The 26145-nt window shown below is 43.5% G+C and overlaps 1 protein-coding gene and 2 pseudogenes across 40 annotated transcripts in view, besides 2 other annotated features; 1 reads left to right on the top strand and 2 right to left on the bottom strand.

The window, feature by feature from the left end:
- TMEM62 (transmembrane protein 62) overlaps positions 1-948 on the bottom strand; it is a 52030-nt gene extending 51082 nt beyond the window's left edge. For 21 of the 40 annotated variants that reach the window (NR_144542.2, NR_144544.2, NM_024956.4 and 18 more), the window contains exon 1: positions 81-477. Coding sequence is in view for 7 of the 40 variants with exons in the window: in NM_024956.4 (NP_079232.3) it covers positions 81-260 (180 nt within the window). In the remaining 33 variants the exon portion in view is untranslated. Of the gene's footprint in view, positions 1-48; positions 478-660 lie in introns of those variants that run through there. The other 19 variants (NR_144541.1, NM_001347004.1, NM_001347009.1 and 16 more) reach the window with 2 other exon arrangements.
- Positions 10-409: a silencer, noted in NCBI's record as "silent region_6382". NCBI's record gives its function as "represses an Ori minimal core promoter by ATAC-STARR-seq in GM12878 lymphoblastoid cells {active_cell/tissue: GM12878}" and the evidence as "EXISTENCE:reporter gene assay evidence [ECO:0000049][PMID:35858748]".
- Positions 630-689: a silencer, noted in NCBI's record as "silent region_6381". NCBI's record gives its function as "represses an Ori minimal core promoter by ATAC-STARR-seq in GM12878 lymphoblastoid cells {active_cell/tissue: GM12878}" and the evidence as "EXISTENCE:reporter gene assay evidence [ECO:0000049][PMID:35858748]".
- SPCS2P1 (signal peptidase complex subunit 2 pseudogene 1) lies at positions 2378-3072 on the bottom strand (annotated as a pseudogene).
- On the top strand, positions 17546-18408 carry RPS3AP47 (RPS3A pseudogene 47; annotated as a pseudogene).

Here is a 26145-nt window from a genome sequence, read left to right as displayed (position 1 = left end):
GGGGCCCAACACCCGCAAGGGTCCCACCGCACGGTGCCCGATCTGCACCTGCCTCCCGGCCCGGCTTCCCGCCGCGTCACCTGCAGGCCCCAGAAGATGTTGCTGTCTCCGGGCCCTGGCGCAGGGTGCGGCCTCCTGGGGGGCGCGGGGCGCGGCAGCGGCGAGGGCTGGCCCGCCAGGCCGTAGTGCTCCAAGAGCATGGCCACCAGCGCTGCGGCCGCCAACCCCGCGACCACCCTGAGAGCCAGCACTGCAGCCATGCCGCCCGCCCGCCGGGGCGCGGCCCTCGCTGATCCCGCGCAGGACCGCGCGGCGCTCCCGGGAGCCGCTTTGCCTGCACTTCCGGACTCTATTGTCGCAGGGCCAGAGCTGGATGCGGGGCCGGCGCCGGATGCGGGGCTGGAGCCAGACACTGGGCCTAGGGTGCTGCGCCCGTCAGCCGCCGCCCAGCACCTGCCCCTCTCTGGCCGCGCAAGTGACTGGGCTCGTTTTGCATAAGTAATACGATCACAGAAAAGAGAACCGAAACTCTGAACACCAATGACGGTGGCCGAGTGGTGGCGGGGAAGGAGACCGGGACCAGTGGCCGGGAGGCGGGGGCTAGAGTCCTGGCTCCGCCTTGGTCAGTCACTCCTGACCTCAGTGGGTCGATCTCCTTACCTGTAAAACGGAGTTAATAACACCTTCCGTGCGCACTTTGCAGGGTTGTTGTATCAAAGTGAGAATGTATGAGAACGCCTTTTAAATTGTCTCACAAATGTGTCAGGTGGCTTCCTCTGGCCCCTTCTGATTATTAACGTACCTCCATAGGTTTTCTTTTCTTTCTCTTCCCCTTCCCTCTACCATTCCCCTTTCCTTCACTTCTCAGACAGGGTCTCTATCCCCCAGGCAGGAATGCAGTGGCGCGATCATGGCTCACTGCAGCCTCGACCTCCCTGACCTTAAGTAGCTGGAATTACAGGCTCGCACCACCACGCCCAGCTAATTTTTTAAATATAGTTTTTGTAGAGACTGGGATCTGTCTGTGTTGCCCGGGCTGGCCTCGGAACTCCTAGGTTCAAGCGATCCTCCCGCCTCCGCCTCCCAAAGTGCTGGGACTACAGGCTGAGCCACCGCGCCCGGCAGCATAGGTTTTCTATAGATGTAATTCCTATGTTTTGTGAAAGTTATTTTTCCCTTAAACTGATTTCACATGCACCTGAGTAAATAATATTGCAACACGGTAGTATACCATTCATTTAATAAGTATTAAATACTTCCTATGGGCCAGACCCAGGAGAATTAGATTCAGCCCTACCTTAATTTATCTAACAACTCCCTTATTGTTGATTTTTTAATTGTTTATTATATATTGCTGTTCTGAGTAATTTTTTTCACGTCTTCCCTTTATTGAAAAAAATTTTAGAAAATGGCAGTTAATAAAAGGCACAAACAAATCAACAGGGATATACTAGTGGAAAACACAATATAAAACTAACATGTCATTGGCTTCTTTAATTGGTTAAGAGCACAAAATGTAACAGGCAAAAGGTCTGTTTCAAACAAATTAAAAAGCTATGTGTTTTTTAAATTCTCCCCAAATCAGATATATACACACCCACAAAAATAGTGTGTGAAGGAAAACTGTCATACACAAGAAGTCGTATCCTGAATTCTTCAAGGAAATACATGTGGAAATAGGAATTAACAGAGTCAGCAACAGATTAATTTTTTATTAATTGAGTCTTAAAATGCTACATAGCCCAAAGCTATACTATATAAAGTACTACTAGGTACAAAGGAAAGTCTGTACAGCTTTTAGCAAAACTGCTTTCCCAGAAAAGCAAATTAAAATAATGCAATCAGCAGACCCAGGAGACTACAGCTAGACATCAGAGCTACAACTTCTCATATCTCTCTCAGAAAATCCTATTTATCCAGAACAGACTAAAATTTCAGGACAAAACAGGGATTTTTAAACTTTTTTTACTTTATCCATTTTAAATTCTTTTTATCTCCCCCACCCCACAAACCAGTAATTCAGCAAGATCCAACAGAAAGAGGGCTACTTTTAGAATTGGCTATTTTATTTTTCTTTTTTTTTTTTTTTTTTTTTGAGACGGAGTCTCGCTCTGTCGCCCAGGCTGGAGCGCAGTGGCACGATCTCGACTCACTGCAAGCTCCACCTCCCAGGTTCAGGCCATTCTCCTGCCTCAGCCTCCCCAGTAGCTGGGACTATAGGCACGTGCCACCATACCTGGATAATTTTTTGTATTTTTTAGTAGAGACGGGGTTTCACCGTGTTAGCCAGGATGGTCTTGATCTCCTGACCTTGTGATCTGCCCGCCTCGGCCTCCCAAAGTGCTGGGATTATAGGCGTGAACTACCGCACCCGGCCTTATTTTTCTTTCTACGGCGAGACTGTCATGGAGCTTGGATATTTCAGGCTCATGTGCATCCATGACCAGTGTCCCACTGTGGTCAAAAAACTTAGCAATGGACTTGGTGAATTCGGCTTCCCGCTGCTGCTTTGTTCTCCCACTGATGAAGGTCAGCTTAGAGGTGTATTTGTCATCAAACCTTTTAAGACTGGAGGACAGTTGCCAAATATCATCAGGATCCATTCCTATAGGATCTTTCCTGTGGGCCACAAGAAAGATGCTCCTCTCCTTATATGAGGTATAAATGGTCAAAATCCCCATCATCATAAAATAGGATATGACGCACAAAGCCAAAATGGGTTTGGACTATGGAAAGGGGTGCATATAATCCCAAATCAAAGCCACTATGGCAAAGAAACAGGAGATTGTACAGATGGTAAGGCGACCATCAATGAGACCAAAATTCTCCACATATTTGTATTTTTCCAGAAGTAACTTTTTGGCAGAATCATCCAAAGAGTTTTTCACAGCTAATCCATCCCACTTGTCAATTTTTACAGGCTTATCATCTGTCTTCCACTTATCCAACAAGCTGCTATGGCCACTGCCTGTGCCGCACCTGGAACCACCGCCAGCCCCACTACTGCCTCCACTACCACTGGTTCTCCCACCCTGATCAGCTGCTTGCTGCTGCCATCTTATCCGCTTCTGCCTGTTCTGAGTAAATGTATACACGTGTGTGTGTGTGTATATATATATATATATATATATGTTGTTTTTTTTTTTTTTTTTTTTTTTTTTGAGACAGAGTCTCGCTCTGCCACCCAGGCCAGAGTGCAGTGGCGCCATCTCTGCTCACTGCAAGCTCCACCTCCCGGGTTCATGCCATTCTCCTGCCTCAGCCTCCTGAGTAGCTGGGACTACAGGCACCCGCCACCATGCCCGGCTAATTTTTTGTATTTTTAGTAGAGACGGGTTTTCACCATGTTAGCCAGGATGGTCTCAATCTCCTGACCTCGTGATCCACCCGCCTTGGCCTCCCAAAGTGCTGGGATTACAGGCATAAGCCACTGCGCCTGGCTGAGTGAATATTTTTACACAAGTAGTGCTCTTTAAAAAAAACTCCCTTTGAGTTTTTTCCTTGGGGCATGTTGTCAGTATTGGATTTATGCCAATTTCAATTAAATTGAATTTTCAATTTAAAATTTTCAATTAAATTTTGGAGTACCTTTGGAATAGAATACATTGATCTAATCAGAAAACATAAAGAAACATAAAGGTAAGTAGGCAAAGAGCTATAGTTCATTATCTTAAGAGCTTATGTAGGAGAGAGACATACATAAGTAAGTTTAATATATGAAGAATATGCTTTTTGCCACAAGAGATGACCAGATATAAAAGGCAGGGGGAAGGTTAAAACTAGGAGAGAGAAGCTGGGCACGGTGGCTCACGTCTGTAATCCCAGCACTTTGGGAGGCTGAGGCGTGCAGATCACCAGGTCAGGAGATCCAGACCATCCTGGCTAACACGGTGAAAGCCCGTCTCTAATAAAAATACAAAAAAATTAGCCAGGCATGGTGGCACGTGCTTGTAGTCCCAGCTACTCGGGAGGCTGAGGCAGGAGAATCACTTGAACCCATTAGGTGGAGGTTGCAGTGAGCTGAGATTGGACCACTGCACTCCAGACTGAGTGACAGAGCAAGATACTGTCTCAAACACCACCACCAACAACAACAAAAGCAACAACAAACTAGGAGACAGTACATCTTTGGAAAGAATCAAGAAAAGTTTAATTATGGAGGCCACATATAAAGGATGGGTAATATTTCTTGACTGGCAGAGATTGAGGTTGGGGTGGGTAAAAGCACTTTGCACTAAGACCTAACAACACGAACCAAAGCATTAAGATGAGAAAATGCAGGGCATGTTGCAGGGACAGTGAGTGTTTCAGTTTGGCTAGGCTATGCCAAGAGGAATAATGGTAATTAGACCAGACCCTTGGCTTGAGGCACATTGAGGAAGGCCTTTGTAAATGCCAAGAGTGAAGACAACAGAGTTCTGCTTTGGCAAGATGGATCTGGCAACGGCATAGAGAACTGGCTGTCCAGAGGATAGGTGTGAGAGAGAATCCTGTTGGAAGGAGATTGCAATAATCCAGGTAGTGGGGTAATTACAAAGACCTGAAGAAGAAAGATGGGAGAATACAACATTGAGATTAGAAAGGAATAATCAGATATAACAATAATTTTAAAAATAAAAACTATAGAACATGGCACCTGATTGGATATTCAAGGGAAGAAAATAAAAGTTTTGTTTTTTTTTTTAATAGTGCCAAAATGTGGAACCTAGTGACTGAGGGACCAGGGCTGTAATGTATGAATGGAGAGCATTACCCATATCAATAAAATAAAATTTTGGTTTTGGTTTTATCTAATACTACACCACTAGAAAACATGTGGAAGGATATTTTAAAACCAAATTTGGGAGACATGATTGAGATGATCTAATTTAAAACCCAAGGAATGTGGCATATGTAAAATGCATTTGCAAAAACCTTAGAGTATGGGGAACCCGCCCCCGATATTTCAACATAGGTTCTTTCTATTTTCCATAAGTGTCAGCTGGCTGAGAAATAAAGAGAAAGAGCACAAAGAGAGGAATTTTACAGCTGGGCCACCGGGGGTGACATCACATATCGGGAGGACCATGATGCCCACCTGAGCTTCAAACCGGCAAGTTTTTTATTAAGGGTTTCAAAAGGGGAGGGAGTGTAAGGACAGGGAGTAGGTACAAAGATCACATGCTTCAAAGGGCAAAAAGCAGAACTACTAATAAGGGTCCAACAAAGATCACAATGCAAAGGGCAAAAGCAGAACTACTGATAAGGGTCTATGTTCATCGGTGCACGTATTGTCTTGATAAACATCTTAAATAACAGAAAACAGGGTTTGAGAGCAGAGAACTGGTCTGACCACTAATTTACCAGGGCAGTTTTTCCCCACCCTAGTAAGCCTGAGGGTACTGCAGGAGACCAGAGCGTATCTCAGTCCTTATCTCAACCACATGAGACAGACACTCCCAGAGCCTCCGTTTATAGACCGCCCCCCAGGAATGCATTCCTTTCCCAGGATATTAATATTAATATTTCTTGCTAGGAAAAGAATTTAGTGATATCGCTCCTACTTGCACATCCATTTACAGGCTCTCTGCAAGAAGAAAAATATGGCTCTTTTTGCCCGACCCCACAGGCAGTCAGACCTTATGGTTGTCTTCCCTTGTTGCCTAATCATCGCTGTTATTCTGTTCTGTTTCAAGGTGCACTGATTTCATATTTTTCAAACACACATGTTTTACAATCAATTTGTGCAGTTAACACAATTATCACAGTGGTCCTGAGGTGACGTATATCCTTAGCTTATGAAGATAACAGGATTAAGAGATTAAAGTAAAAACAGGCATAAGAAATTATAAAAGTATTATTTGGGAACTGATAAATGTCCATGAAATCTTTACAGTTTATGTTCCTCTGCCACGGCTCCAGCCGGTCCCTCCGTTTAGGGTCCCTGACTTCCCGTAACATTAGAGAAACCTCAAAGATACAGGAAATCATTTTCTAGAAATGGGGCACAACAAGAGGAAGAATCATGCTGTTAAAGTATTTGGACAAGGTCCAAAGTCACAAAAGCCAGCAGTCTCAATTTCAGACACTGTACTCCAACCAAGCCACTTCACTCATGGTGTTCAAAGTGAATAGGAACAGGATATTATTTATTTAATGATGGTTAATGATTCTCCAGGGAAATACTGGTTTGACCAGCTAATCACTTCAATTCAGCATAAAAGGTGTCTCAGTTCCTGACAGTCAAAGCAGAAAGGTAAATAGAGTTCTTCTTATAAAGAAAGCAGGCAGCAATTCACCATGAAAGCAAACTTACCTAGAACCAAAGTCAAGGGAGAATGTATCACTCAGACATTTTACAGTACAACGTACATTGTCACCAACAGCCATATATTGAATTAAGTGACTCTCATAAACATAAGATGCAGAAATTGTCTTTTTTTGGGCGAGGGGGGGTGGTCGGGGGGCGGAGGATAAAGTTTTGCTCTTGTTGCCCAGGCTGGAGTACAATTATGGGATCTTGGCTCACTGCAACTTCCACCTCCTGGGTTCAAGTGATTCTGCTTCAGCCTCCCAAGTAGCTGGGATTACAGGAGCCCGCCACCATGCCTGACTAATTTTTAAAAATATTTTTAGTAGAGACAGGGTTTCTTCATGTTGGCTAGGCTGGTTTCAAACTCCTGACCTCAAGTGATCCACCTGCCTTGGCCTCCCAAATTGCTAGCATCACAGGCGTGAGCCACTACACCCAGCCATAATTGTCTTCAAATCACTATCTTACTGACTTTGTTAAAAATACAAAAATATAGTATTAAATCGTTTTGTGAAGTCATTTATATAGAGAGCTAAAGTAATGTAATTAAAATAGGTTGCATATATATAAAGTTTGTTTGTTTGTTTGTTTGTTTGTTTTTTGAAACAGAGTCTAGGTCTGTCTGTCGTCCAGGCTGGAGTGCAGTGGTACAATATTGGCTCCCTGCAACCTCCGCCTCCTGGGTTCCAGCAATTCTTATGCCTCAGCCTCCCAAGTAGCTGGGATTACAGACGTGGGCCACGACGTACGGCTAATTTTTGTATTTTTTAGTAGAGACGGGGTTTCACCATGTTGGCCAGGCTCGCCTCAAACTCCTGGCCTCAAGTAATCTGCCCGCCTCGGCCTCCCAAAGTGCTGGGATTAAGATTATTTTTAATTATTTTTTTAAACTGTGGTAAAATAGGCTGAGCACAGTGGCTCACCCCTGTAATCCCAACACTTTGGGAGGCCAAGGCAGGCAGATTGCTTGAGCCCAGGAGATTGAGACCAGCCTGCACAACATGGCAAAACCCTGTCTCTACTAAAAATACAAAAAATTAGCAGGGTGTGGTGGGCGCATGCCTGTAGTCTCAGCTACCTGGGAGGCTGAGGTGGGAGGATCACCTAAACCCCGGTGATCAAGGCTGCAGTGAGCCGAAATTTTGCGCCACTGCACTCCAGCCCAAGCAATAGAGTGAGACGTTGTGTAATTCAGTGCAATTAAGTACATCCATATTGTTATGCAACCATCAGCCCTTAACATAATGGCTTCAAGGTTCATCCATGTTGTAGCATGTGCCACAATTTCCTTCCGTTTAAGGCTGAATAATATTGCATTGTATGTATAGACCACATTTTGTTTATCCATTCATCTGTTGATGGATACCTGAGTTGTTTTCCTCTTTTGGCTATTGTGTATGATGCTACAATGAACACTGGTGTGTACTAGACATTTTTAAAGCTTTTTTTTTTAACTTTAATTTTAGGTTTAGGGGTACAGGTGCAGGATTGTTATTCAGGTAAACTGCATGTCACAGGGGTTTGGTGTACAGATTATTTAGTCACCCAGATAATAAGCACAGTACCCAACAGGTTATTTTTTTTTCTGATCCTCTCCCTCCTCCTACCCTCCACCCTCAAGTAGGTCCGTGTGTGTCATTTCCCTCTTTGTGTCTATGTGTTCTCGTTGTTTAGCTCGCACTTTTAAGTGAGAACATATGGTATTTGGTTTTCTGTTCCTGCATTAGTTTGCTTAGGATAATGGTCCCCAGATCCATCCATGTTGCGGCAAAGGACATAATCTCATTCTTTTTTATGGCTGTGTAGTATTACATGGTGTATGTGTACCACATTTCCATTATCCTGTCTACAATTGATGGGCATTTAGGTTGATTCCATGTCTTTGCTATTGTGAATAGTGCTGCAGTAAATATTTGCATGCATGTGTTTTTATGGTAGGATGAACTATTTTACTTTAGGTATATACGCTTTTTAAGCTTTTGAGGGAGCACTCCTTTTATTCCTTAACAAAACAGAAATTTGGGAAGAATTTCATCTAGGTAATCAATGCTCTTTACAAGAAACCTGAAACACCTGCAAAAGTAAAAAAATCACAGATCAAGGAATTTCTGACTTATTACAACATGGATCAACCTTAAGGACATTATACTAAGTGAAATAAGCCAGTCACAAAAAGATAAACACTGTGTGATTCCACTTATATAAGGTACCTAGAGTAGTCAAATTCACAGAGACAGAAAGTGGAATGGTGGTTTGCAGAGACTGGGAGGAAGTGGGGATGGGGAGTTAATGTTTAATAGGAACACTGTTTCAGTTTTGCAAGATGAAAAAAGTCTGGAGATGGATAGTAGTGATGGTTTTACAGTATGGATGTACAATCGGCCCTCCATATCCATGGGTTCTGCATCTGTGGATTCAACCAACTGTGGATCAAAAATATTCAGGAAGGCTGGGTGTAATGGCTCGTGCCTGTAATCTGAGCACTTTGGGAGGCTGAGGTGGGCGGATCATTTGAGGTCAGGAATTCAAGGCTAGCCTGGCCAACTTGGTGAAACCCTTAGTCTCTAATAAAAATACAAAAAATTAGCTGGGCCTGGTGGTGCACACCTGTAATCCCAGATATTCAGGAGGCTGAGGCAGAAGAATAACTTGAACCCAGGGGGTGGAGGTTGCAGTGAGACAAGACTGTGCCACTGCACTCCAGGCTGGGTGACAGAGTGAGACTTTGTCTCAAAAAAAAAAAAAAATTCAGGAAAAGGCTAGACTCAGTGGCTCACACCTATAATCCCAGTGTTTTCAGAGGTCTAGGCAGGAGAATCCCTTGAGGTCAGGAATTTAAGACCAGCCTGGGCTGGTCTTAACAAAAAAATTAGCTGGCCATGGTGGTGCACCCCTGTAGTCCCAGCTACTTGAGAGGTTGAGGCAGGAGAATCACTTGAGCCCAGGAGGCGGAGGCTGTAGTGAGCCACCATCATGCCACTGCACTCCAGCCTGGGCAACAGAGCAAGACTGCATCTCAAAATAATAATAAATGTATACACTCTATTTCTCTATTTTTCTCCATTAAATGTTTATTTATTTTATTTATTTTTTTTTTTTTTGAGACAGAGTCTCGCTCTGTCGCCCAGGCTGGAGTGCGGTGGCACGATCTTGGCTCACTACAAGCTCTGCCTCCCGGTTTCATGCCATTCTCCTGCCTCAGCCTCCCGAGTAGCTGGGACTACAGGCGCCTGCCGCTGCACCTGGCTCATTTTTTTTGTATTTTTGGTAGAGACGGGGTTTCACCGTGTTAGCCAGGATGGTCTTGATCTCCTGACCTCGTGATCCGCCCGCCTCAGCCTCCCAAAGTGCTAGGATTACAGGCATGAGCCACCGCGCCCAGCCTGAAGTGTTTTAAAATGTACATTTCTTTGACCTGTTATTTGTACTTAGAATAACTTATCCTAAGGAAAGATGTGTGTGGAGAGATTTACCAATAGGCATGTTTATGAAGGCAAAGTTTATAATAGAAGAAAACCAGAAACAAACTACAGTAAAGGTTCCACAATAAGAGTCATAGAAAATAAAATGGCACATCCATACATGGGTGTAAAGGTGTTTCATGTTTACACCGGTGTTCCAATACTTCAAGATTCAAGTTGCTGCCATTTTAAAGTCATGCTCAAGGGTTCTCAATATCTACATTACCAGCAGTCCAAAGATTAAGCAAAATGAAAAACAGTCTTTAATCTTAAAAGGCCTGTAATCCCAGCTACTTGGGAGGCCAAGGCAAGAGAATCTCTTGAACCCAGGAGGTGGAGGTTGCAGTGAGCTGAGATCACGCCACTGCACTCCAGCCTGGGTGACAAGAGCGAAACTCCATCTCAAAAAAAAAAAAAAAAGGAAGGCAACGTTTCTACACAAGGGATATACCAGTCCCATTCGAGATAATCTGGGAACTCTAGTCAATGAGCAAGATGAATAAAAGGCTAAGAATGATCACCTTTGCAAATGAAAGAGTAACAGGAAGCTGGGATATGATTTTACTAGAAACTGTAAAAATAATTGGCAACTTTTACAAATGGAAACCTCCAATTCCAAATGCTTAATACCATATTTATAATATTTTTACCTTTATATTTATTAAAGTCCTACCTGCACATCATTTACATTTTCTCAATTTTCTGAAGTAGTCTTTAAACACACACACACACACACACACACACACACACACACACACACACACACACAATGTGTTTTCCCATAATCTAGGACAAATTCATTTTATCCAAGAACTTGGGACTTGATCATGATTCTCTTTAGAGGATAGTCAAGTAGTCAAGTCCTGACAGTCTATACTGTGGAGCCAGGAGATGCCTCTCATTAAGCAGGGGAAGACATCGGGGCCAGGAGAGTATGACCTACTCACAGGACCTCGCGAGTTCGTGCCCGTATAAGGACACGCCGCCCTGTTCACCAATTTGCCCTGCCTCCTCCTGGGCGAGCGCTTCTTAGCAAAAGCCCCAGAGCGTCGGTGACGTTCCCGGAGCCGGGCGGGGTATTCGAGAGGGGACCCACCCCTTCCCGCTGGCGACGCCCCCGGTCGGGGTTGGCGCGGTTTCCATGGGGACTCACTCTGCGTTAAGGTTTCTCTCCCGTCATTCCTGTCAGCCCATGATATGATGATACCTCCTAAACACTGAGTGTGAGGAGCCGATGCTGGTGAGCTGGAACTGGGTCCCAGGGAGGCGGCCAGGAAAACGAGAGGCAGAATACCACATTAAAGGAGCGCAAGTCAAATACCCGGGCGCCAAAAACTGGAAGGATTTACGTTTGGACTTCAATGCTTAGGGAAGTGGGTGGGAGGTGAGTAGGGCAGAGAGGGCAGAGCCAGGAACAGGGAGAAAACCACGGAACTAGGTGGGACTCAGTAGAAGCTGAACTGGTAAACCACGGAACTGGGTGGGACTCGGTAGAAGCTGAACTGAACTTCAATATTCAGGGATGAATCAGGCGCTCTGGATAAGTGGCAACCCTCTTTACTCAACCCAGGCACTGGAGGTATGTGAAGAGAGGTCTGGGCTCTCCTGTCAGGAGCACTGTCAGGGAGACAAGGCCATGCCGTGTGGGGGAACTAGTGGCTCTATTTCTCAATACTTTTGTTTTACTCAAACTATCCATACATTCAGTTTAAGGGGGCAAGTATTTCAACACATTTGCCGCTAAAAAGAAACCCATGTTGTTTACTACCAAGAAACGGTCTCAAGTGTTCCCCATTTACACCTTCCAGAGTAGTCTTTTTAATGCTGGAGCTCACTCTTGTTTTTGACCTCCTTATCTCTCTTGACCTGCCAATAGTGATGCTGTGGGCTTTCAGGATCAAATGATATCTACCGATTCCCACTAAGGAAGAGGTGAGACTAGCCCTCTCACAACGATCACAAGAAATGCTGCAAGGACCACTTTCATTCGTACTCCCAGACCCCATCGTTCCAAAACAATTTGTATCAGTTTTGGTTAGGTCAATATTCAGAGTTGACCTTAGTGTGACTGTAGAGTTTCTATTCAGAGTAGAGCTGAATTCTACCCTGAGTTCTCATTGTATAGCTAAATGATGATCATATTACAGGAAAAGGGGTAAGTAAACTTTTTCTGTAAATGGCCAGATAGTACGTGAGCCTTGTTACAAGTACTCAGCTCTGCTGTTGCACTGGGAGAGCAGCCATAGTAGTAGTATCTCAATAAAACTTTATGGACACTGAAATCCAAATTTTGAATAACTTTCTTGTGTCACAAAATGTTACTATTCTTTTGATTTTTTTCAACCATTAAAAAATGTAAAAACTATCCTTAGCTCAGGGAAGTAAAAAAAACGACCATAGTTGGACTAATCACAGTTTGTCAACATCTGGCATAAACTATTAGCAGGTTGTTGCCTAAAATCTCTTTATCTCATCAAATTACTGTGAAGAGTTGTAGGCAAATAGGTATATTTTATTATGTAGAGGTGATTATATTCAAAGATAAGTTATTTTGAACTTAAAATCTAGTATTTTAAGACCAAACTATTCAAACACAGCTAGAATTCACTAAGGAAAAGTTACAGTGAACATTGAAGAAAAAAATTAACACTTTAGTTTTTTTTGTTTGTTTAACACTACTCTTAATAGTTACTGAAAATTTTGGTATAACCAACCAACACACACACAAACACACACACATATGACCCCCTCACACCACCCCGATTTATGTTAATAAGACATGGCAGGGGGAGGGATAGCATTAGGAGAAATAACTAATGTAAATGATGAGTTCATGTGTGCAGCAAACCAACATGGCACATGTATACCTGTGTAACAAACCTGCACGTTGTGCACGGGTACCTAGAACTTAAAGTAAAATAAAAAAAAATTTTAAAAGACATGGCATAAGAGGATCACTTGAGCACAGGAGGTCTTGCTCAATCACCCAGGCTGGATTGCAGTGGCTCGAACATGGCTCACTGCAGCCTGGACCTCCTGGGCTCAAGCAATCCTCCCACCTCAGCCCCCTACATAGCTGGGACTACAGACACACACCATCACACCTAATTTTTTTTTTTTTTTTGGTAGAGAAAGGGTTTCACTATGTTGCCCAGGCTGGTGTTGAACTCCAGGGCTCAAGCGATCCGCCAGCCTCAGCTTCTCAAACTGTTGGGATTATAGGTGTGAGCCACCCCACTGGGACCAAAGAGACTTTCACACAAATTGTTGCTATGGTCTGAATGTTTTATGTTCCCCAAAATTCATATGTTGACACCCTAACCCCTATGGTAGATGGTATTAGGAGGTGAGCCTTTGGGAGGTGATTAGGTTCGTGAGGGTAAAGCCCTCATGAATGGGATTCATACCCTTATAAAACAGGCTCCAGAGAGGTGTCTTGCCCTTTCTACCATGTTGGAACACAGCTAGAAGGCGCCGTCCATAAGCCAGAAAGAAGACCCTCACCAGACACTGAATATCCCTTGATCTTGGATTTCCCAGCATTCAGAACAGTGATAAATAAATTTCTGTTGGTTATATGATACTCAATTTATGTTACTCTGTGATAGCAGCCTGAACAGACAAAGACAGTTGGTTCCTTGGGAAACGGGATGCCTAGGAAAAGATTATATAGTTGAACCTTGAACAACAGGTTTGAACTGCATGGGTCCACTTATATGCAGATTTTTTTCAACCAAATGAAGATCAAAAATACAATATTCAGGCCAGGCGTGGTGGCTCACACCTGTAATCCAGCACTTTGGGAGGCCGAGGCAGGCGGATCACCTGAGGTCAGGAGTTTGAGACCAGCCTGGCCAACATGGTAAAACCCCGTCTCTACTAAAAATACAAAAAGTAGGCAGGTGTGGTCGCACATGTGTGTAATCCCAGCTGCTCAGGAGGCTGAGGCAGGAGAATCGCTTGAACCTGGGAGGCAGAGGTTGCAGTGAGCCGAGATTGGGCCACTGCACTCCAGCCCAGGCGACAGAGCCAGACTCCGTCTCAAAAAAATAAAAAAATAATAAAAATAAAATACAAAAATTAGCCAGGTGTGGTGGTGCATGCCTGTAATCACAGTTACTTGGGAGGCTGAGGCATGTGAATCACTTGAACCTGAGAGGCAGAGGCTGCAGTGAGCTGAGATTGTGTCACTGCACTCCAGCCTGGGTGATGGGGTGAGACTTTGTCTCAAATAATAATAATAAGTTAATTAAATAAAATAAAATACACTATTCAGGGGAAACCTGAGTATAGAGAGGGCTGACTTTTTGTACATGCGGGTTTTGCAGGGCTGACTGTGAGACGTGAGTATGCACGGGTTTTTATATACTCTGGGGGTCCTGGACCCAATCCCTGGCATTTACCAAGGGACAACTGTATATTTAAGTGACATGGCATAAAATAAGTTATAATATCTCTGCTTTGTTACTATAGGTTCTGGTGCAAAGTAGTTCCTGGGACTAAGCTGTCACTCAACTTATGCCACTCAACTTAGTTTTGCTGCCTTTTTATTAATGTGACAAAAAGGTGTGTGTGTGTGTGTTTATTTATGACAGGAACATGACCATTTAAATAAATTTACCTAATTGTGTCTTCATTTAAACTGTCTGAAACTAATGAATGAATGTCATGTTCCTTTTCTCTTCTTTCCTCCTCACATTGAGGCTTATCTTTCTATTTCCAATAATTTCCCCTTCTCCCCTTCTTCCCTTCACTCTTTTCTAGTCATTTCCCTTCTTACTTTGTCTCCTGCCTGGAAGGATGTTAGACTCTTCTATAATAACTCCATTTGCCCTTCCATAGAGATCACAAGTCCTTGCTTTCTTCACTCACTTCTTTTGTTCTTTTCTCCTCTTCCAAAATTACAATAAGATGAGAACAATTAACTATGTTCTCATCTTTCTCATTCTTGACCCTCAGTTGTGGCATTAATGAAATGATAGGGCAGTTCTGGAAATTTTAGGTAAAGGTAGCACATCCATTTAAATCTTACTCAGTCTTTTCTAGGTCTCCCTGTTTCTTTATCCATATGATTAACCCCACCTAGCCAGATCCTTTGGGTCACTGTCTTTCATTACTTTATTCTTAGAGTTATTTTTCTACCACCCTTCCTTCGTCATTATCTCTCCGCTAGGAATACTCCCTTAGTTTCAGGTTGAAACCAGGCTCTTCAGGCAGTGTGGCTAAGAACTTCAGACTAACCTGGATTGAAACCAGTTCTGAAACTTACTGTGTGACCAGGCAAATCTTTAACTCCTATGACTCACTATTATCTTACCTCTAAAATGGCAACTATAGTGGTCTCTCTTCCACAATGTTGTTTTAAGGGGTAAATGAGATAATGCTTTTGGGGCTAATGATTTTCTTATGGGATGACTGCCTAAGCCCTTTCCATCTCCATCAGCTTATTATCTGCTTAGATCTGCCATTCCCTCCATCTCTCAAATCCTCTGTACCTTTGTCCTCTGTCTTCCTCCTCCTGAGTTCCTAAACTTCCTTCTGTTGTGAGACCACTAGTTCCCACATGCAGACCTTCATGTTTTGTTTAGGCCATCAATTATTTATCTCCTTGGAAGACGTTAACACAGACTAGCTCAAGTATAATTCAATTACATTAAAATACCTCTGACCCAACACAATACTACTGCATCATAAGCATCTCTCAGGAACGAGTTTATTTTATCTAAATAAAAGTAAAAAGCATGTTAGAATAGGCATGTTGGTAGCATCTTGGATCACTGGAGCATACCCAGCAAGAGCTAAAGAGGAAATAACACAAAGGAGTACTGTTCAGTGATGCTTTACACAAAGCAGTCATAACAGATCTGGAGAACTGTATTTCATCCTTGCCTTGGCTTCAGCCAACCAGATAGCAGTTTTACTATCCCTGTCACTACTAGCTTTAATCAATAAATCAACTATTTATAGCAACACCATACATTTGTATGGCATTTGATAATTGAAAAAGTAATTTCATATACATTTTCTTGTGTAATTCTTATAACCTCCTTATCAGATAAATTTTATCATCACAGTTACAGATGAGAAAATTGAGGTTCAGGGATTGTGACTTGACTTTGTAAGGAAATAGTGAAATCAGCATTCAAATCCAACCTCTCGAGTGTAGACCAAACTCAAGAAGATAAGATTTGTCTTTGGCTTTTGTTTGTTTGTTTTTTGTTTTTTTGTTTTTTAGATGGAGTCTCACTCTGTCGCCAGGCTGGAGTACAGTGGCGCTATCTCGGCTCGCTGCAACCTCCACCTCCCGGGTTCAAGCAATTCTTCTGCCTCAGCCTTCCAAGTAGCTGGGACTACAGGCGCGTGCCACCACACCCAGCTAATTTTTTTTGTATTTTTAGTAGAGACGGGGTTTCACCATGTTAGCCAGGATAGTCTCGATTTCCTGACTTCGTGATCCACCCACCTCAGCCTCCCAAAGTGCTGAGATTACAGTTGTGAGCCACCACGCTCAGCATGCCTGGCTAATTTTTCACCATGTTGGCCAGGATGGTCTCAGTCTCTTGACCTCGTGATCCACCCACCTTGGCCTCGCAAAGTGCTGGCTCCCAAAGTGCTGGGATTACAGGCGTGAGCCACCATGCCCGGCCTGTCTTTGGCTCTTTTAGCTGACTTTTTTTTTTAGCCTTTTGCTTTCTCACCATTCCCATATGTAATGGAAACTGTAATGTGCCACCCAGATCCTCCTTCAGGAATGAAGGACTTACTCCCCCAGCTGCTTAGAGTGCTGGCAGTGAGAAGCCATCAGAGACTGCCTCTGCTGAAGAGGGCTGGCTTGCTCAAGTTGACCCCTTTTGCCAGGGCTGCCCACATCTAATGACTGATCAACATTAAGAATATGAAAACATTCCCTCCTACTCCCAACTAGGGCCAACTCTGAAAAAAGGTTATTCCAGCTTCAGGATTCCCCAGAGAGTTGTTCAGATTGCATGGCAGCTCATTTTCTCCCTCAGCCCAATCATGTTTCCTTCCTTTTCCTTCCCTTCCATGGTTGTTGATCCCAAGAATACTCCCCAATATACCCCCTGCAAGCTAATCTGTTTCAGTTTCAGCTTCTTGTGAAACCTAACCTTCAACCTATGATATGCACAATTCCAAAGAACTTGGATTTCGGGATCTCTTAAACTAATACCTACTTAAAGGTAATCTGATAAGAGGTTATCATCCCAAACATACCTGCATATTAATAAGGTCTTGGGTTGACAATGCCAGGACCCCTAGGAAAGAGCCTCTAATGATGAAATAAATGTGACAAGTGCTAGCCTCTAATCTGGCTTTGGAAATTTTTGTGGGACCAATGCACATTTTGTGAGTTGATTTTTAAGATGCTATTTTAACTCTGGGAGGCCAAGTGGGAGGGTAACTTGAGGCTAGAGTGGACAACATAGTGAGACTCTGCTCCATTAAAAAAAAAATTAATGAGCTGGGTGTGATGCTGTGCCTGTGGTCCCAGCTACTTGGGAGGCTGAGTGGGGAGGTTCATTTGAGCCCAGGAGTAAAAAGCTGCAGTGAGCTATGATTGTGCCACTGCACTCCAGCCTGGATGACATGGCAACCCGTTTCAAAAAAAAAAATAAGATTTTATACCAGACAGGAGGAATACAGGTAGACACTACTGTCATCTCGCACAAGAAGAAAGATGGGAGAAGGGCATGTGAATGGAATCCCCCAGGGCTTCTCAATTTTGATTGCTCAGTAGGTTCACTTGGGAGAGGTCTAAAAAGACAAAAACTAGCCTTTTGGCTCTCTGACCAGCACCATGGCGGTTGGCAAGAACAAGAGCCTTACGAAAGGCGGCAAAAAGGGAGCCAAGAAGAAAGTGGTTGATCCGTTTTCTAAGAAAAATTGGTATGATACGAAAGCACCTGCTATGTTCAATATATGAAATATTGGAAAGATGCTGGTCACCAGGACCCAAGGAACCAAAATTGCATCTGATGATCTCAAGGGTCATGTGTTTGAAGTGAGTCTTGCTGATTTGCAGAATGATGAAGTTGCATTTAGAAAATTCAAGCTGATTACTGAAGATGTTCAGGGTAAAAACTGCCTGACTAACTTCCATGGCATGGATCTTACCCGTGACAAAACGTGTTCCATGGTCAAAAAATGGCAGACAATGATTGAAGCTCATGTTGATGTCAAGACTACCGATGGTTACTTGCTTCATCTGTTCTGTGTTGGTTTTAATAAAAAACGCAACAATCAGATATGGAAGACCTCTTATGCTCAGCACCAACAGGTCCGCCAAATCCGGAAGAAGATGATGGAAATCACGACCCGAGAGGTGCAGACTAATGACTTGAAAGAAGTGGTCAATAAATTGATTCCAGACAGCATTGGAAAAGACATAGAAAAGGCTTGCCAATCTATTTATCCTCTCCGTGATGTCTTCGTTAGAAAAGTAAAAATGCTGAAGAAGCCCAAGTTTGAATTGGGAAGGCTCATGGAGCTTCATGGTGAAGGCAGTAGTTCTGGAAAAGCCACTGGGGATGAGACAGGTGCTAAAGTTGGACGAGCTGATGGATATGAACCACCAGTCCAAGAATCTGTTTAAAGTTCAGACTTCAAATAGTGGCAAATAAAAAGTGCTATTTGTGAAAAAAAAAAAAAAAAAAAAAAAAAGACAAAAACTAATACTCAGGTCCTTCCCCTTTCTATTTTCTCTCTTTTTTCTTTTTCTTTTCTTTCTTTCTTTCTTTTTTTTTGAGACAACATCTTCCTCTGTCACCCAGGCTGGAGGGCAATGGCGTGATCTCGGCTCACAGCAAACGCCACCTCCTGGGTTCAAGCAATTCTCCCACCTCACCCTCCCGAGTAGCTGGGATTGCAGGCACCAGCAATCATACCCAGCTAATTTTTGTATTTTTGTAGAGATGGGATTTCACCATGTTAGCCAGGCTAGTCTTGAACTCCTGACCACAGGCGATCTCCTACCTCAGCCTCCCAAAGTGCTGGGATTACAGGTGTCAGGCACCATGCCCAACCAGGTCCTACCCCTTTCTTTTTTCTTTCTTTTTTCTTTCTTTTTTTTTTTGAGACGGAGTCTCGCTCTGTCGCCCAGGCTGGAGTGCAGTGGTGCAATCTCGGCTTACTACAAGCTCCGCCTCCCGGGTTCACGCCATTCTCCTGCCTCAGCTTCCCGAGTAGCTGGGACTACAGGTCCCCTCCACCGCACTCGGCTAATTTTTTGTATTTTTAGTAGTTTTTTAGTTTCACCATGTTAGCCAGGATGGTCTCGATCTCCTGACTTCGTGATCCACCCGCCTGGGCCTCCCAAAGTGCTGGGATTACAGGCATGAGCCTGGCCACCCCTTTCTAATTAAATCAGATTCATTAGAATGCGGCCTGGCATTGGAATTTTTTAAAAGATCCCAGGTAATCCTAATGTATAGCAAAAAATTGAAAGCCTCCAGCATATTCCATAAATAAGGATTTTTAAGGAAAACTGTTCTAAGCATGGTTGTCCCAACTAACTGTGTTATCCTGGGGTGTCAGGAAAGCTAACTAATGTATATTAGTTGTTGATAATGTGTCAAACAGTAAAATGGAACCTACAGAAGACCTTATAGCTTGTTTACTCACAAAGCTACTGTAAACTGAAGGCAAATGAAAAAAGAAGTACATCTTTGCGTATGAATCAAAGAAATTCATAATACTGGTGGCGCATGCCTGTAATCCCAGTTACTCAGGAGGCTGAGGCAGGAGAATCACTTGAATCCCAGCTACTCGGGAGGAGGAGGTTGCAGTGAGCCGAGATCACGCCACCGCACTCCAGCCTGCGGGACAGAGTGAGACTCCGTCTCAAAAAAACTAACAAACAAAAAGAAAATATAAGTTAAAACTGAGAAAATGTTAAAATATTTATCAATTATTTTGAAAGAATAAACCCAATATATGTTTAACAAAAACAGTATTTTAAAATAAAAATTAACTGCTTTCCAAAATACAAAAAAATATTGAAAAGTGTGGTAATCTTTTATATTTTCGCAAATCTCTTAACGTCTGGCTTAACAGAAGGCAGCTAGGTTCTTTTTTTTTTTTTTTTTTTTTTTTTTTTTTTGAGACGGAGTCTTGCCCTGTCGCCCAGGCTGGAGTGCAGTGGCGTGATCTGTGCTCACTGCAAGCTCCGCCTCCCGGGTTCACGCCATTCTCCTGCCTCAGCCTCCAGAGTAGCTGGGACTGCAGGCGCCCGCCACCACGCCTGGCTAATTTTTTGTATTTTTAGTAGAAACGGGGTTTCACCGTGTTAGCCAGGATGGTGTCCATCTCCTGACCTCGTGATCCGCCCACCTTGGCCTCCCAAAGTGCTGGGATTACAGGCGTGAGCCACCGGGCCCGGCCTGGCAGCTAGGTTCTTATAACTGCTTTTGTATTCGATATATTGTGATATATTGTTTTGGTTGAAGTGTACGAAGAAAATCTGGCCTTACACAGATACATAACTGGAAAGGGGAAGAGCATTTTTTTTATTTATTTGTTTATTTTATTATTTATTGAGATGGAGTTTTGCTTTTGTTGCCCAGGCTGGAGTGCAGTGGCGGGATCTTGGCTCACTACAACCTCTACCTCCCGGATTCAAGAGACTCTCCTGCCTCAGCCTCCCGAGTAGCTGGGACTACAGGCGTGCACTAACTGGGACTACACGCGTGCGCCACCACGCCCGGCTAATTTTTGTATTTTTAATAAAGACGGGGTTTCACCATGTTGGCCAGACTGGTCTTGAACTCCTGACCTCGTGATCCACCCACCTCGGCCTCCCAAAGTGCTGGGATTACAGGCGTGAGCCACCGCGCCTACCCTGTTTTTTTTTTGTTTTTGTTTTTCGTTTTGTTTTGTTTTTTTGAGACTGAGTCTCGCTCTGTCGCCCAGGCTGGAGTGCGATCTCGGCTCACTGCAACCTCCGCCTCCCGGATTCAAGCGATTCTCCTGCCTCAGCCTTCCGAGTAGCTGGGACTACAGACGCGTGCCACCACGCCCGGCTAATTTTTTTTTTTTTGAGACAGAGTCTCGCTCTGTCCCCCAGGCTGGAGTGCAGTGGCGCCATCTCGGCTCACTGCAAGCTCCGCCTCCCAGGTTCATGCCATTCTCCTGCCTCAGCCTCCGAGTAGCTGGGACTACAGGCACCCGCCACCACGCCACGCTAATTTTTTGTATTTTTAGTAGAGACGGGGTTTCACTGTGTTAGCCAGGATAGTCTCAATCTCCTGACTTCGTGATCCACCTACCTCAGCCTCCCAAAGTGCTGAGATTACAGTCGTGAGCCACCGCGCGGCTCGGCATACCTGGCTAATTTTTTGTATTTTTAGTAGATATGGGGTTTCACCATGTTGGTCAGGCTGGTCTTGAACTACTGACCTCGTGATCCACCCGCCTCGGCCTCCCAAAGTGCTGGGATTACAGGCATGAGCCACTGCGCCTGGCCAATAAATAGTAGTTTCTTAAGACTCAATTCAGTGTGGAATCTGAAACCATATCAATGAAATTCTTGTACTCCACAGCATTCAATTCCATTGTTCTATTTAGCATTTTGGATGGTTCTTTTACCCACCTTTTTTTTTTTTTTAGATGGAGTCTAACGCCCAGCTAATTTTTGTACTTTTGTTTTTAGTAGAGACGGGGTTTCACCATCTTGGCCAGGTTGGTCTCGAACTCGACCTCGTGATCCACCCGCCTCTGCCTCCCAAAGTGCTGGTGTGAGCCACCGCGCCCAACCCATGCTGGATTTTTAACACCTCATTTGTCATCTGGAAAATACTGATTGAGTTATACCAATCTTCTACATGTTGACACGTCATTATAATTTATCAAAAAATCACATTAATATCACCACTGATCCTGAGGACTTTGTCAAGCTCACAGTGGCAGATATGACTTTTCCACAATTCTAATTTTTCATTTGAAAGCTCAAATTTGTCATAGACAACAAAAACTGACAGTTGTTTTCCTTGAAGAAAAAGTCTTGTTCATATTTGAGAAAATGCCTGCCAAATAGTCAAGTCTGAATAATCATAGTTACAGTTGTCAGTTGTTCTTTTAAGTAAAAAGGGTGTTCTGTGATTAAAAAAGTGGCTGGTTGAGCTAGCAACTCAATGCAGAAGTGCTTCTTCTCAAGTCAGTCATCATACTTTGTACATGGCAGAAAAACTTTGTGCGCTTCCTATTTCATCATACAGAATATTTAAAAGGCTCATGGGTTGAGATTTAATAAAATTAATGTTTACTTCATCAAGGGTATTCTTAACGGAAAGACTTTTCTCCCCCCTCCCTTTTTTTTTTTTTTTTTTTTAACTGCAAGTGCATGGTGGTGAAGAAACTACTACTTCACTTTGATGACTAGTCCAGTTTGGTGTCGCTGCCTTGATTTTGTGCTAAGAGGCCAGTAGTTTCAGCTACCAAGCTTTTGCACTCATCAGTGCAAATGCCAACATGGTGTTGTTGTTGTTTTTTTAAATAAAAGGCAAATAACTCTTTGTTTTTTGTTTTGTTGTTGTTGTTTTTTGTTTGTTTTTCTTGAACCATGGCCTGGCTCTGTCACCCAGGTTGGAGTGCAATGGCCTGATCTTGGCTCACTGCAACCTCCACCTCCTGGGCTCAAGCCATCCTCCCACCTCAGCCTCCCAACTAGCTGGGACTACCGGCCAAGGCCACCACACCCAGCTAATTACTTTTTGTGTTACTATAAAAACAGTTTTCCCCTCACAGACTTCCTGAGTCTCAAGAACTCTCATTGCGTCTGTGGACATTTTTTATGGCTGCAGAGTATTATATTATATGGGAAAACAGTTTATTTAGCCAGTGTCCTTTATTGTTGGGCATCTGAGTTGTTCTTTACTTTTCTACGTTACCAATAATTATGTAGTTAAGATTTGGCTGACACCCTGAATTATTTTTCCAGTATAAAGTGTTAAAAATGGAATCACTGGTCAAATAGTATGCCTTTTTTTTTTTTTTTTTTTTTTTTGAGATGCAGTTTCGCTCTGTCACCCAGGCTGGAGTGCAGTGGCGCGATCTTGGCTCACTGCAACCTCCACCTCCCGGGTTCCAGCAATTCTCTGCCTCAGCCTCCCAAGTAGCTGGGATTACAGGCACCCACCACCATGCCCAGCTAATGTTTTGTATTTTTAGTAGAGACGGGTTTTCACCAACTTGGCCAGGCTGATCTTGAACTCCTGACTTCGTGATCCACCCGCCCTGGCCTCCCAAAGTGCTGGGATTACAGGCGTGAGCCACCGTGCCTGGTCCAAATAGTATACATTTTTTAAAAAAGGCTTCTGAATATTGCCACACCACCTTCCAAGAGGTTTACCAATTTACATTTGCATTTTACTTAATAATATGGTTGTCCTTCCAGCTTCTTACCAACACTGATTATCTTCCAAAAAAAAAAAAAAAACCTTGCCAAATTTACGGACAATAAATCATATCCAATTTTTACTTATTTTGCATTTATTTGCTTACTAGTTAGGTCTTTTTCACAAATTAATAAAAATTAGTAAGTTGCACATTTATGTCTTTCATCCATTTTTCTTTTGGAATAGTCGTCTTTAGGATTTTTTTTTTTGTTTTTTTTGAGACAGGATCTCACTCTGTTGCTGAGGCTGGAGTGCAGTGGCCTGATCTTGGCTCACTGCAACCTCTGCCTTCTGGGCACCAGTTATCCTCCCATCTCAGCCTCCTGAGTAGCTGGGACTATAGGCACATGCCACCACGCCCAGCTAATTTTTGTATTTTTTGCAGAGACAGGGTTTTGCCATGTTGCCCAGGCTGGTCTGGAACTCTTGGGCTCAAGTGATTCACCCTCCTCGGCCTCCCAAAGTATTGGGATTACAAGCATGTGCCATGGTGCCTGGCCACTTTGGGATTTTATCCTTTGATCTGCCATGTCTACTGCAGACATTTTTCCCTAGTTTTTGTTTACCTTTTAAATTTTATGTCATTTATTTTTATGTTTTTAATTTTAATAAAATTACATATAAGTATTTTTATGTTTATATTTTTTGCCTTTAGCAACATGCTTAAAAAAGACTTCTCCAATGCAATATTAAAAAAATATTTACTTTGGGCAGGGCTCAGTGGCTCATGCCTGTAATTCTAGCACTTTGGGAGGCAAAGGTGGGTGGATCACTTGAGCCCAAGAGTTCGAGATCAGCTTGGGCAACATGGAGAAACCCTGTCTCTACAAAAAAATACAAAAATTAGCCAGGCATGGTGGTGCATGCCAGTGGTCTCAGCTGCTTGGGAGGCTGAGGTGGGAGGATCGCTTGAGTCCTGGAGGTAGAGTTGAAGTGAGCCAAGACCATGCCACTGCACTCCAGCCTGAGTAACAAAGCAAGACCCTGTCTCCAAAAAAATAATAATAATTTTTACTTATTTACTCTTTTTAGCAGTTAACTCTTTAATCTGTTAATAATTATTCTGAGGGCCGGGCGCGGTGGCTCATGACTGTAATCCCAGCACTTTGGGAGGCCGAAGCAGGCGGATCACGAGGTCAGGAGATCGAGACCATCCTGGCTAACATGGTGAAACCCTGTCTCTACTAAAAATATAAAAAATTAGCCGGGCGTGGTGGCATGCACCTGTAATCCTAGCTACTCAGGAGGCTGAGGCAGGAGAATCACTTGAACCCGGGAGGCGGAGGTTGCAGTGAGCCGAGATTGCACCACTGCACTCCAGCCTGGGTGACAGAGCAACACTCCGTCTCAAAAAAAAAAAAAAAAAGAATTATTTTGGGGTATGATTTGAGGTAAGGATCTGACCATCTTTTCCCAGATGGTTACTTATTCTTTAAATGTTTCTTTTTTTTTTTTTGAGACAGAGTCTCGCACTGTCACCCAGGCTGGAGTGCAGTGGCGCGATCTCGGCTCAACACAACCTCCGCCTCCCGGATTCAAGCGATTCTCCTACCTCAGTTTCCCGAGTAGCTGGGATTACAGGCATGCACCACCATGCCCGGCTAATTTTTGTATTTTTAGTAGCGATGGGGTTTCACCATGTTGGCTAGCTTGGTTTCGAACTCCTGACCTCCAGTGATCCGCTGGCCTTGACCTCCCAAAGTGCTGGGATTACAGGCTTGAGCCACCACGCCCGGCCTCTTTAAATTTTTTTATTGTGGTAAAATATACGTAAAATTTACCATTTTAACCACTTTTAAGTATACCATTCAGTGGCATTAGATATATTCATATTGTTATGCAACCATTACCACTACACATCTCCAAAACTTTTTCATCTTTCCAAAATGAAACTCCGTATCCATTAAACTCGATTCTCTCCTCCTCTCAGACCCTGGAAACCACCATTCTACTTTCTGTGTCTATGAATTTGACTACTCTAGGTATGTATTATAAGTCAAATTACACAGTATTTGTCTTTTTGTGACTGGCTTCTTTTATTTAGCCTAATGTCTGTAAGGTTCATCCATGCTGTGGCATGTGTCACAGTTTCCTTCCCTTTAAAGGCTGAATAATATTCCATTGCATGTATATGCCACATTTTGTTTATCCACTCAGCTGTTGATGGACACTTGGGTTCCTGCCACCATTTGACTATACTGAATAATGCTTCAATGAACACAGGTATACAAACATCTGTTCAAGACCCTGCTTTCACTTCTTTTGGATATATACCCAGAAGTGGAATTGCTGGATCACATGGGAATTCTATGTCTAATTTTGTTTTTTGAGGAACTGCTACATAACCATCTGTTTTTGCACCACTTAATAAACAGTCCGGCTGGGCGTGGTGGCTCACACCTATAATCCCAGCACTTTGGGAGGCCGAGGCGGGCGGATTACCTGAGGTCGGGAGTTTGAGACCAGCCTGACCAACATGGAGAGACATCGTGTCTACTAAAAATACAAAATTAGCCAGGCATTGTGGTGCATGCCTGTAATCCCAGCTACTTGGGAGGCTGAAGCAGGGGAATTGCTTGAACCCGGGAGGCGGAGGTTGTGGTGAGCTGAGATCACGCCACTGCACTCCAGCCTGGGTAACAAGAGCGAAACTCCATCTGAAAAAATAAATAAATAAGCAGTTCATAATTTCCTTCTCACTTGAAATGCTGTTATCTTTCATGTGTAAAATACTTGAATTTGGTATAAAGTAATAAAGTGAAATGGATAAGAATAGGGCCTTGTGAGTCATTTGAACTGGATTTTATTTATTATTATTTTTTGGTAGAGGTGGGAGTCTTGCTATGTTGCCCATCTCAAACTCCTGGGCTCAAGTAATCCTCCCGCCTTGGCCTCCCAAAGTGCTAACATTACAGGGGTGAGCCATTGTGCTGGCTGAATATCTGCTGTGTCACTTGGAAGCTGCATGTCCCTAACCAAATTA

The sequence above is a fragment of the Homo sapiens genome, chromosome 15 (assembly GCF_000001405.40).
Source record: "Homo sapiens chromosome 15, GRCh38.p14 Primary Assembly".
Classification (NCBI taxonomy): domain Eukaryota; kingdom Metazoa; phylum Chordata; class Mammalia; order Primates; family Hominidae; genus Homo; species Homo sapiens.
The sequence above is the reverse complement of the archived record's forward strand: the minus strand, read 5'-3'. Positions and strand labels throughout refer to the sequence as shown.